Source organism: Homo sapiens, chromosome 11 (genome assembly GCF_000001405.40).
Source record: "Homo sapiens chromosome 11, GRCh38.p14 Primary Assembly".
NCBI lineage: Eukaryota > Metazoa > Chordata > Mammalia > Primates > Hominidae > Homo > Homo sapiens.
The window spans coordinates 95222480-95234953 of record NC_000011.10 but is presented as its reverse complement, the minus strand read 5'-3'; the positions used below and the strand labels follow the sequence as shown (position 1 = coordinate 95234953).

The 12474-nt window shown below is 39.2% G+C and overlaps 1 protein-coding gene and 1 long non-coding RNA gene across 5 annotated transcripts in view, besides 4 other annotated features; one reads left to right on the top strand and one right to left on the bottom strand.

The window, feature by feature from the left end:
* Positions 1–549: 549 nt before the first annotated feature.
* On the bottom strand, positions 550–4768 carry LOC100129203 (uncharacterized). Its single transcript, NR_110295.2, has 6 exons — positions 4459–4768; positions 3381–3829; positions 2778–2902; positions 2280–2364; positions 2035–2074; positions 550–1500 (listed from the first exon to the last, which is right to left on the bottom strand). It is a non-coding gene; the product is annotated as an uncharacterized LOC100129203 (long non-coding RNA).
* Positions 2094–2733: an enhancer, noted in NCBI's record as "H3K27ac-H3K4me1 hESC enhancer chr11:94965385-94966024 (GRCh37/hg19 assembly coordinates)". NCBI's record gives its function as "activates a minimal SCP1, AML or CMV promoter by ChIP-STARR-seq in naive H9 embryonic stem cells {active_cell/tissue: H9 hESC(naive)}" and the evidence as "EXISTENCE:reporter gene assay evidence [ECO:0000049][PMID:30033119]".
* Positions 2479–12474, top strand: part of SESN3 (sestrin 3) — a 66963-nt gene continuing 56967 nt past the window's right edge. The window contains exons 1-2 of one of the 4 annotated variants that reach the window (XM_011542614.2): positions 2479–2797; positions 10470–10502. In XM_011542614.2, the coding sequence (XP_011540916.1) occupies positions 10494–10502 (9 nt within the window). In that variant the 5' untranslated portion in view covers positions 2479–2797; positions 10470–10493. Of the gene's footprint in view, positions 2798–3751; positions 4172–10469; positions 10503–12474 lie in introns of those variants that run through there. The other 3 variants (NM_001271594.2, XM_024448355.2, NM_144665.4) reach the window with 3 other exon arrangements.
* Positions 2734–3373: an enhancer, noted in NCBI's record as "NANOG-H3K27ac-H3K4me1 hESC enhancer chr11:94964745-94965384 (GRCh37/hg19 assembly coordinates)". NCBI's record gives its function as "activates a minimal SCP1, AML or CMV promoter by ChIP-STARR-seq in naive H9 embryonic stem cells {active_cell/tissue: H9 hESC(naive)}" and the evidence as "EXISTENCE:reporter gene assay evidence [ECO:0000049][PMID:30033119]".
* Positions 3729–3878: a silencer, noted in NCBI's record as "silent region_3849". NCBI's record gives its function as "represses an Ori minimal core promoter by ATAC-STARR-seq in GM12878 lymphoblastoid cells {active_cell/tissue: GM12878}" and the evidence as "EXISTENCE:reporter gene assay evidence [ECO:0000049][PMID:35858748]".
* Positions 3889–4198: a silencer, noted in NCBI's record as "silent region_3848". NCBI's record gives its function as "represses an Ori minimal core promoter by ATAC-STARR-seq in GM12878 lymphoblastoid cells {active_cell/tissue: GM12878}" and the evidence as "EXISTENCE:reporter gene assay evidence [ECO:0000049][PMID:35858748]".

Here is a 12474-nt window from a genome sequence, read left to right as displayed (position 1 = left end):
TGGTGACAGGTAAGAACATGAGCCTAATCTCTCTGCTTCAAAGCAGTGGATTTTTCTGAACAATTCAATTCACATTTATTGGGGTGCTTTTATAAAGAGTGAAACTCATTACTTTCTCCAAAATTTTTTTGAGCACTTCCCTATCAGTTGAGCTAGGAGCCAAGGATACAAAGTAAATGTTACTCTATCCCTGCCTTCAAGGGGTTTGAAGTCTAATGAGAAAACAGGAGTTAAACCTACCATTTCCCTAGTGAGCTTTTTGGTAAAGAAGAGGTATAGAGGGGCACTATGGATGCTTGGACAAGTGCTTGATTCAGGAAGTGTTTCAACAGAAGATATTCACCAGGCAGAAGGAAGAAGGGAAAGGGATTAAGGTAGAGGTAGGTGGAATACTGATGGGCCTTATGCAGAATGATAGCTTTCAAATGATTGCTCTCACCTGTGTTCTTATTCAAATCTTTCCACAAAATATTATAGCAAGTTGCACCATGAGCCTTAAGACATATGTATACCCTTTTACTCAGAAATTCCAGGCCTAGGAATCAGAGATTCTGCCAGAAACTTAAGTATAAGGAAGTTTATTTTGTTATTTACAATCATGAAAAATCTGAAACAACCCACATATTAAACAATAGCATAAGGATTAAGTAAGTTATGGTACATCCAAGCCATGTAATTTTATGGATTCTTTGCTTAAAAAAATTACACTTTAAAAGAATAATTCAAAACAAGCAACATGATTATGAGATAACAGTTTTGAAATGATGTACAATGTTTAATGAAGTATCATCCTAATTTTGTAATAAAAAATTAAAAAGTAGTTCTCAACATTGGTTGTAATTTTCACTCATATCCTACTTTTCTAAAGTTCTTTCTTGTTTTAAACATACCAGACAACAAAAGGGGTGGAGTTTCTCCTTGTTCTATGTGCAATAAAAAGAACTGGCTTTTGTTTCTTTTCCTCTTAAGTGCGATCCTGGGTTTGAAATAAAATTCCCTTTATAATATTCAGGCTGGCCAAGAAAGGAAGGAAGGTCAGGTGAAGAATGGAAGAGAAAGGAGATGTCCAGAAACTGAACATTTCCATGAGAGAGGAGAATAACTATGATGGGAATGAGGGTGTGAGGACAGACCAGAAAGGGTGGTTGCTGTGTTAAGAATAAGGTACTGGCATTGAGTAGTTGAGGGCAGAACATAAACACATACATAATGGTTCACTGTAAGAAATGTCACAATGTAATACATGATTAACTGCCAAATAAATAGCACTACAGACAATACATATTATAATAGTTTGGAGGAATTTGGTGCAGAGAGCCATCATATGGTCAGATACATGTATGTGACCATGTATTATTGAAGATATTCATCTACTAAAATCTTCCTTTAGCGATCTTTGTTAGAGGGTGTTATTGTATAGGACTAGATTCTCTCGGCTTTCCTTTCTGGAGGATTTAGTTACTGAAGAACTTAAAGGAACTCATTTCGAAAGGATTTTAGCTGTCAAGTGAAAAAAGAAAAGAAAAGGTTATAAGAAGAATGTGCTAGAAAACAATATGAATTTAAAATTCTATTTGAGAAAATTCAATCTGCACAAAAATTCACTTCATCCTTCAATTTCTCCTTTCCTTTAAAATGTACTCACATAAAATCTGCTTTAAAAGCCAGAACCAGCCAGGAATATAGCCCAAGAAATTTACCACTAAATGGGGACACATATGTGTTTCTTAGAAAAACTGTGCCTTGCTGACTTTCTCCCTGCATTTCTTGGTTCTCTGCATCGAAGGGCATGTGGTAATTCCCTCCTTTTCTGAATTTACTTGCTTTTACAGTTTCTTCTAACTGAATCTTAAGCACCTTCCCCACACCATTCATTGCTCTTTAGTTATGTATGTCTACACAGCATCAAGCGACCTTTAGCTAACACTGGCTAAATAGATCAACACCTTTACCCAACTACATAACTTAGACCCTTTTGGGGTTTTCTACTCTATTTTGATCTATTTAAACCTGATACTAGCAGATTTCCATTACCTTTGTTTCTTGTGTAGACTTGGTTTATATGTGTTGGTCTCTAAAAAGGGACAGAGAGGAGACAGCTGTTGAGAAATGAGAATGGCAGTTTTAACCGCACAAATTGGTCTAATAGCTTTGATATGCTAAACTTGCTAGCTCCTCCAAGTGTACCTTTCCGATTTTGCATAACACCACCCTGAATCCCTAAGGAAACCAGGGTTGTTGTTTTTTTTTAATTAAAAAGAAAAGAAAGAAATGCAAACCAGTGAAACCGTTCTTTTAAATCATCTCCACATAGATTTCATTCTACGAACTTCAGGCCTTCACAAATCCTGGTACGCTGGAGACCTTTAAAAAGGGAGAAGCCGAGAATACTGATTAGGTTCTAAAAATCGAAAACAGGTGATGTCATAATGCACAGTCCTGTGGCCACGGCCATGGCCGGGTGGGGAGCTGGGCTCCAGTGAGCACAGAGCTCCTTGCCAGTAGGCGATGCAAGTTATCTCTGGGGCCCGGAGGACACGAGTGAGGACCGGGCACCAATCAGGTTCTCGCTCTGCGCCGGCCTTTGTTCTCACTCGGGAGCAGGTTGCGGGCGTCTAGCATCGGGAACCCGCATTCGACTCGGACGCGCATTGCTAGCCCCTTCGGGAGACCTGGCTCCCCTACCCGTCTGTCCCGCCACACTCGGTCAGCCTGCGCTTTCCCCAGTCAAGTCTGCCTTCTCTCCGCAGAACGTGGACGCTAAAACCCTGACTTACCATTTTAAGCTTTAGAAGAGGTAGGTTTGTCCCAATAGTTTTAAACGACAATTTGTTCTCTGAACCTTCCTTTCTGAGCAGGGCGCTGTGCTCTGCATGTATCCGAACAGCTGCCTCAGGAAGGTCTTTTGGGTGAGAAAACAAGCCCCTTTGGCCTTTTAGTGCTGGACAAGTAAATGAACTTACATCTCTAAGATAACTGCTAGAAGGTGCTTCACAAACAAGAGGAAACCGCTAAACCAGAGGTTTTGTGTCTCTCCCCTCAAACTCGATTACTTGCGTAAATATATATATAACTCAGACATTTATCCCCTATCCGCCTCCCAAGCCTCAAGTAACTGAAATCTTTGCAAAACAAGGTTCACAATAAATGATGCGTAAAGTTCTTTGAGATCCCTGGATACAAAGTACTACATAACTGCAGTCTTCTTTACAGCTAAAGTTAGATTTTGGTGGAGAGAAAGCCTAACCACTGCCCTGAAGGAAGGAACATTTAATCCTCCCACTCCCCTCCCCCTTTCTCGAGAGATCAGGAAATATTTAGCTCAATCTTAGACTCTCTAGCGAGCTCTAGCTCCCAACTATTTATCTCATTCTCCTCACCACTTCTGCAGGGACCTAGAGAAGGGGGCGTAGCTTATCTTGGGGGTGGGGCTTGGAGGGCAGTATATTTGCATATGACACACCCTCGTCCTCTTATTGGCAGAGGAGAGCAAACTGTTCCCTGCTACCCTACTACTTAGCTAACCGCCACCTCCCTTCAGTTCCGAGCCTCGGAGATAAACTTAACTTGCCCGGAGATTCAAGGCTTCCTCGGCCCCTGCGATTGGCCGGCGCGACTCCCAGTCGGGCTCTCGTTGCTCATTGGCTGCGGGCTAGCGCCCTGGGGGCGTAGCCGGAGCTGTCCGATTGGCGGGAGGGGCGGTACCGGAGCGTGGAGGTGGTGAAGGTGGTGGGGCGGCGGAGGCGGGGCCGCACTGAGGCGCTGCGGCGGCGGTGGTGGCGGTGGCAGCGGTGGCGGCTGCTCGTCCTAGCCTGGCGGGGGCGGGGGTCTGGAAGATGGGGGCGGGTGGAACAACGGGCCGGTGAGGAGCAGCCGCCGCCGTCTCCGCCGTCGCTGGGGCAGCTGCCGCGGTGGTCGCCTCTGGCAGTGCCGCTAGCTTTCAGGCAGTCGCCTCTCCTCCCGACATCCCGCCTTGAGGAGGCTGAGGCGGAATCGCGGCTGGCGGCGGGGGGACGGACCGGCCCTGCAGTGGCCGCAGTGACAGCCCGGACCCGGCCCTCCGCCCGCTCTCGCCTCGGCGCCCGCAGCCACGATGAACCGGGGCGGCGGCAGCCCGTCGGCCGCCGCCAACTACCTGCTCTGTACCAACTGCCGGAAAGTGCTGCGGAAGGTACGGGTTCGGCCCGGGGTCCTGCCGGCGAGGGTCGCTTCCTGCCGGCCGGGGCTCGGGCGGCTCGTCCCCGGGCGCGCACTGGGGGAGGCTGAGAGGGATCCCCGGGCACCGTCCCTCCGCAGGGACTGAGAAAGGGGGCGTGGGTTGAGGGCAGGAGGGTTTGGACTACTGCGGCTTTTTATTTCCGCCGGGACAGACCCAAGTCTGGAGGGGTTGGGATATTTTTTCTTCCCTTGTTCCTTTTATTTGGTGCCTTTGCTCTCCTTTACGGCTCATTTCCCTACCTTGCTACCCCGGGTCGGCTCCTTGGGCGGAGGGCGGGAGGGATCCGTTCGATCCTCCTCCCTGTGCAGTTTAGCTGTTGATGGAGGTCGGTGTGAAATCAGAGCAGCTGGGTCGGATCCCGAGGAACCTGGCCCCTCTTTGCTGTGGCTAACTCTTGCGAGTGTTGTTTTTGTTTATTCGGTTGCTTCTGCCTTGCGCGCCTTGCTCAACAACCCCCGTTTTCAAATTGTTTGGATGGTAGTCCTGTGTCTGTAGTTCAGTCTCGAAAGGAACCAGTAAAGCATCTTGAACTTTATGCCCATGGGAAATGCAATTCGACCTGGCCAGTTCCTGAGGCTGGGGTTGGGGGAGGAGAAGACTGAGGTGGATGTGGGTTATTCCTCCTTAGCACCCCCCTGCCCCCGTGTTGATCCAGAAAAATGAGGCGCACCATCAGTTTATTGCTGCTTCCTAGAGTGACTGATAGAAAGTTTACTCCAGTATTGTTTAGCTTACTTGGCTTAATCGCCCCGCGGGGAAGGGCGAGAGGGATGGGGAAGGGAATGAAAAAAAGGTCTCTAGACTTTTTGATCAGATTTTAACAGCTGCCCCAAAGTAATATTATAATCAGTTTATTCGTATTCAAACTCTATTTTTACATTTTATTAAGTGGAAACGTTAGGTGAGATGCTTCTGTTTGTTCACTACAAATGAATTAAAATTGCTGAGCTGTGCAAATGCATCGGGACTGAAAGCGGAGATGAATATGGTACCGTTTTTAGTCAACATCTCTAAATACGGTTCACTTTGGGATTGTTCTTTCTACATTTTTTTTTAAAAAAGGAAGAAAGAAAAAAGCACATAAGTAAGCAAGCTCAAATATTTGCGCTCTTTGTCCAAAAACTGTTTTTCTTCCTCTGTGGGTCAGGCCAAGTGCCAATCAAAGTTGTTTTTCAAGCCTCTTTTCCCTGCAGTAGGGCTGCTGCTTTTTTTTTTCTTCCTATTTTATTTGAGAGCGTGAGAGCAAAGGGATTGCAGATTTGAGGTTAATTGAACAGTTAAATATGCCTTAAATTGTGTTTATTGGATATGTTTCTCTTGAAACAGATTTTTATTAAATGTGCATGTTGAGTATGTGCAGTTATTTTTTTCCATAAACTCTAGGATCAAATTACAGTTGATACTTGCTCAGCTCATTGTAGGGTAGCTTGTGAGAAATGTAATGGATCAGAAGTGCAGATCAGCTTAGTTGGATGTTAACTCTTTCACTGCAGGGCCAGATGTCATCTGAACTTAGCTTTCAAAAAAATTTATTTCTTAATTTTTAAATTTATGTTATGTCTTTGACATGAAAAAATGTGTCATTTAAGACATGTTTGATTAAAGTGCAGCCTGGTTAAAATGACAGCAAGTTATGCTTTTTAATTGAATAAGGAAAAAGAGCACTGTATTGACTTTGATAAAAAAATTTTTTAATGGCTCTGGCAATTTGTTAGGCTAATAAAATGTTTGGAGGTAATATTAGGCTTCAAAATGTATTTCATTTTTCTTTTGAGAGAGCTATGGCTATGGATCCATGACACTTTGCTAGCATTTAAGATATTACATCTTTCCTTTAGCTTTTAGGAAACTATTTCTGTTTACCTAGAAAGAACATCCTCATTTCTAGCCATTATTAAAAGAAACGTGGAAAAAGAGTATTCACATTTTCGTATTTTATAATTGCTGAGCACATCTCTGCCAGTATTCCAGTTTTTAGTAACTCCAAGGTATTTAATATTGATTCATGCAGTGGCATGAAATAACTTAATGGAAATAGGATTCTTTGAGCCAGTTATAACATGACTTGGCAACATTTGCAGCTTTTTAAAGAGTGCCACTTTGAAGTGCTCTTAAGAGAATCAGTATGTAGCATTTTAAATGTTTCATCATTCTTAAAATAACAATGAAAAGTTTATTTCTAATAAAGACATGTTTTTCTTGTTGATATAACTCTAAGTTAAAAGTCATCTATAACTCTCAAAATGTGATTCTTAGAGTTTATCTTGTTTTCCATTTAATAAAGTGTTCAGTAATGTAGCCAAGTGAGTCATAGTATTTTGAATGTTTGTTCAGTCTAATTCATAATGGAAGAATGAAACTCATGCTCATCCAGTGTGAATTACTTTTGCTTTTATATTTCTATATAATGATGGAAGAAGGGTCACCTTTATATGGGACAGAAAGTGTTATTCTCTCAGTAGGTGGCTTAATTTGTTGCAGTGTGTTGAATTTTAGGGGAACTTCACAAGGAATGGAATTCACCTTCAAATGAAATAATATGGTTTAACCCAATGCCTGAATATTGAATTATATATTGTATGAGAATTACATTTATTCTTAGAAGTCCGTTTACGGTTTTGATTTAGTATCCTCCAAAATAAAGAGACTTATTAAAATATTGAATGTACCTAATTTGGTAACCTTAGGACAGTAAAAAGAATGGAGAGGTAAACCATATCCATAAATAAATTAACCATCAAAACTATCCTGAAATCCCTAACTCTTAAGTCTAACTTGCTCTATTGTCAATGAGGTAGTTCAGTAAAGTTTTTAATAAAAGAGGAAATGCTTCTATTTATTTTGTAAAGTTAACGAGTTTTTAAGTTTAATCTTTTACTTGAAGAAATTCTAGTGATAACTAGAAGAACATAATCCTTTAATTTGAAAAGTCATGTGTCAAACTGCATTGAGGAAGGTAGGTAATTATCAGTCCACTCATCTTCCAGTAAATAAAAAAGTGGCATATTCCAATGTACTTTGGGTATTGAGCAGTTAGTGCTACTTAAATGAATAGTTTTGTGCTCTTTAGAGGATCTAACATTTAAACTTTTTTAATGTTAAGATAGTTATAGTGATATATCTTTGTATTGTTATTGCACTTTTCACTTTGTTATATGATCATATATTTTGACATCTTTTTGATGGTTTTATAAACAAAGATACTGTCAAAATGAAAAATACTAGATTGAGGACCGGGCATGGTGGCTTACGCCTGTAATCCCAGCACTTTGGGAGGCCAAGGTGGGCAGATCACGAGGTCAAAAGATCGAGACCATCCTGGCCAACATGGTGAAACCCCATATCTACTAAAAATACAAAAATTAGCTGGGCGTGGAATCGTGTGCCTGTAGTCCCAGTTACTCAGGAGGCTGAGGCAGGAGAATCACTTGAACCTGGGAGGCGGAGGTTGTGGTGAGCCAAGGTTGTGGTGAGCCAAGGTCACGCCACTGCACTGCAGCCTGAGCAACAAGAGCAAAACTCTGTCTCAAAAAAAAAGACAAAAAAAAAAAAGAAAAATACTAGATTGAACTATATGAGCCTCATTTTTATAGTCAAAATTGTTAAGTAATAGCAACTTTATATGGTTTAGCCAATAAAATGTATTTGCTCTATCTGTGGACCACTAGTTACATTATGCCTTGGTTAATCAGTTTTCTTGTGTTACATATTTTTGATTGTCAAAGGCAGTTTTTAACTTGATTATCTTAAATATCCTAAGCAGAGATCAAGTAGTTAATTAGTGATGGCAAACCTTTATGCAATGGTTTTCAAACTGCTTCGTATGGACCCTTAAGATTCTTTGGGGTTTTAAAATGCTTGAGTTGCATTAAATTTTTAAGTATGTTTTAACTTATTTTAAAACTGTAATTTAAAAATATGGGTACCCCCAAATATGTACACATAATTTTAATAACTGGAGTCTAACACCATTATCTTTCATTACAAAATTATTCTTGTGCAGGTCTTGAATTACAATTTGTTCTGCTATCTTTGTACAGATATTTGAATTTTTTTTTGTTACTGTGTCATGTATGAGAAAGATTGTCATTGATTGTGAAGGAACTGGCTTTTTAAAAAGAATTCCTTCCATATTTACTTAAGTTAAATGTTTACTTGTGAGAACACAAATTTATTGTTATCAGTAGTTGTAACTTTATTACTAAAATACTTGAAAGTTGCTTGGTATATTTATATGCTTTATAGTTCAGGTTCAATAGAAGATTTAATTTGTAAAAAGTGTTCTGCTGCTTCCCCCAACTCCCCACCCTAAATAAATAGAAAACATAACTACTAATGTAGTGATACTGGAAGCCACAGATGTGGTTGCAGTTAGGTCTTTAACAGATCTTTTGATTTCAAAGCAGAGTTTTCTCTGTAAAATGTTGATAATTTTTACTTGCCTTACAGATTGCTGTATAGTTGGAGAGAGATAGATGTGTGTTAATGAACTTTATAAACCGTGTAAGAAAGAAAAGGACAAGTCCATATATTTTTCCATTTTCCCAGACTATGTTAGTTCTTTCCGTCTTATGGGAATATATTTCAATACATACTGAGTAATTTGGTTAATACTCACTTTTCTGTCCTGTTTAATTATTGCCTGTAAATGAGAGGTAAAGATTATGCTTTTAGTCAGAATGACTTTTTTTTTTTTTTTTACTTATTTTTGATTTCCATATTTCTGTCTGTATTCCCTGCCCCTTTCCCACCCCTGCACTTAAATAGCAAGGCATTGACTTTTGATTCTCGAATAATTAAATTGCCTCCTTGACACTTCAGCAAATAAGGGGAATTGGTATTTAGTTTGAAAAGACTAAGAGTTAAGGAAAATTGTGCTTAATAAAAGGGGGGGTGGTAAATCTAGGGTAAAGCAAAAATTTTTAATTAGTTTAGGAGAAGAGATGGAAGTAAAAGTCTTTTAACCTTTTCTCCCCATCTCTTCAGCCTTTTCATTTTCTTCCTTTGAAATATTTGGATTATAATAACTTAAGTGTGTATTGACCTTCACAGTTTTTAGGGTGCTTTCACATTATTTCAGTTGATTCTCACAAACTGAGAAGATTTAAGTGGCCTGGTCTCAGTCATACAACTAATAACAAAGAAATCCATTTAATTCTTAATACTGCCTTTGTAATAAGCTGTTTCTAATTGTCCTCTGCAATATTGAGGCTGCTAGGGAATATCCCTACTCCCAGCTTCACCATCTGTGGAATGCCCAAAGATACCGAAGATTCTCCAGGTAATATTGGTTGGAAACATGAAAGTTAGCCATACTTTAAATACTATTGTAGATTAACTGAAGGAGTAGGAGAAGAGTAAGCTGGTCACTTTTATCTCTCTAACAGTTGTTTGGCTAATTCCTTAATAAGATAAAGCAGCAGTTCTCAAAGTATGGTCCTTGGATCCCTGTGGGTCCAAAACCCTTTCAAAAGGCCTGAGAGGTCAAAACTGTGTTCATAATTATACAAAGACTTTATTTGCCTTCTTCACTGAGAGCAAAAGCAGTGGGGGTAAAACTATGCTAGCCCCTTAGTATTAATCAGGTTAGTGGCACCAAACCGTTATCACTGTGTTCTTTACCACTGCACATTGAACAATGGGGAAAAAATTTCAATATCACTGAATGTCCTTGAAGAAGCAGTGAAAATTTAAATTTTGTTAAAGCTTGACCTTTTTGTGTGCATCTTTTTAATACCCCGTATGACAAAATGGAATGCGTATAAAGTGCATCCATTGCATAGCAAACTGGTTGGCTCAAGGAGAAAACTTGTGCAGTTGTTTTAGTTGCAAGCTGAACTAGCCACTTTTTTCATGTAACCCCATTTTTACTTGAAATAACACCTGTCAGACAAACTTTGGTTACTCAGACCTGGGCATTTGATAAACATTATCTTATAAATGAGTAGTATGACCCTGAAAATTCAAGGAAACTAATTGACACTATTTGCTGCCAGTGATAAAATTCAAGCTTTCAGGGAAAAATTAGAATTTTTGAAAATATGTATCTGTCACCAGTAGCCTTAAAGCTTCCTGGTTCTTAAAGGCTGTCCCCTTGAGATCAAGTATGATATTAGTGGATGTAACTTTTTGATAATCTGCAATAAAATTTGTCAGTATTTGAAAGATTTACATAACTCATTGAGCCAATATTTTTCAATTGACCAACAGAGAAAGACATTATTAATTGGGGTCTTTCTTTCCTTTTCAGCCAAGAGCAGCCAATTAGAGCATAATGGACAAGGTAATCTTTGGATCTGACCATTCTTTTTATCACTGACAATGATTGTTGTCAGTTGTTTTCCTCTAGTTTTCAGGATCATTTTGCTTATTTTTGAGGAAATGTTTATCAGAATCATATATGGGTAAAATCCATTTAAACCGCAAAATGTACAAGTGGATTTTAATATGATATAAACTGTTGAGGTCATGGATATGATTTCAGATACATTGCAATTAACCTTTAAGAAGAATACTTGTTGAGTTTTAGTGTGGTATCAAAGAAAAATATTCACACTTATCTTCTTTTTCCAACTATGTAGCTATGTCAGGTTCGATTTTTCACGCATAGTTCAATCAAAACACATCACAACAGATTGGGGAAAATTCAGCTGTCTTGTATTAAATAGACATTAAAGAGATTTGCAAAATGTAAATGTCACTCTTCTCACTTTTTATGTTTTGGAAAATACAATTATTCCAAAAAATATGTGATTTATATTATTTTGTAATAGATTTTATTACTATTTTAAATGAATTAAACATTTCAGAGTTTTCTCGGGTTTAATTTCTAATACAGTAAATATGGGCAGTTATAACCCACACATAAACAAAGGCTCTTTGGGGTCCCCAATAATTTTTAAGAGTGCGAAGGGGTTCCAGGACCAAGACATTTATGAAGGGGTTCCAGGACCAAGACATTTACGAACTACTGAGCCAGAGTTACTACTGATGCCAGTATATGGTGTAATTCTATGGGGAAAATAAAAAGCTTAATACCACTGACAGAAAATATTGATAAAGTCAACTCAGTTACCTCTGTTTGGTGTGTGTATCACTTGCAGATGCTGTCTACCACCTTTTCAGTGACATCCTAGAAGCTTCTCTATTACCACAGTAACTGGCTAACTAGAAATGATCTTTCCCTAATTTTCATGAGCATCTTTTTTCTGATATAAACCAGGGAGGGAAAAAAACAAAGTTCCTTCACTTTGAAGGAATATTCTCCTTTAGTACTGTGCAACAGCTGAAGAAAGGTCAAATCCAAAAATTATGTCCATTATACCAAATTGATTGGTTCTTGGCTACAAGGGAAAGAAGGACCCTGAGTAGCAAGGTTAGTCTGTTTGGCTTGAAAGCTGAGAAGTGTGGGGGAAGCAGCAGCAGAAGGAACAAGAAAAGAGAGAGAAGAGACAGAACTATTAATGCAGGGTACTGATAACAAGCATTGTTTGAATGTGGGAGTTCCTAAATAAATCCTCAAAGGTATAGTGGACTTTCTATTGTGTGTGTGTGGTGGGTTTGCGGGGGTGGGGTTGGGGGGATTGTGGTACACTATACACAAAAGCTATGACAGCCAGCAACTACCTGCATTCAGTGTGGTCTTGAAGGCATAAGCATAAGGGCCTATTTACTCTGTCTGATTAGATCTGCTGAGACCTATAAGTGACTAGCTGTATCTAACTTGTCCCTTAGACATCACTGTGGTAGGAGTACAGATGGCGGGGAGGAAGTGGAATTCACTATATAAAGTAAATACACTACCAAGTCAAAACGTTTAGTCATGTGTCCCCATAACAGTTTCCTTAAACCTGTGTGATTTAAACAATTTAAAATATATATCCTATATAACCTAAACCTGTAGTTACCATATAGAATTCCTATTTGTCTTTCAAAAATCTGAAGAAAGACTGTTCTTCAAAAGTCTGACGACATTTCCAAAAAGCCTTTTCTAATCTTCCAACTCTTCCTTCTCCTTCTATCCTCTGGACTGCCATGATATTCAATTGCACTGCATTTATTGCACTTAGCATACTGAATTATAATTAACAATTACATAAACCTTTCTCCTACTAGGTTGCCTCTTATTTGGGATCTAGTTAATGGAGAGTTTATTGTTAGCAAAATAGGATTTTGATTTAAAGACATTTATTTTAAAAATATCAGTAGTATATTTATATTAGATACAATATAGCCAATAATATGAAAACTTTTCT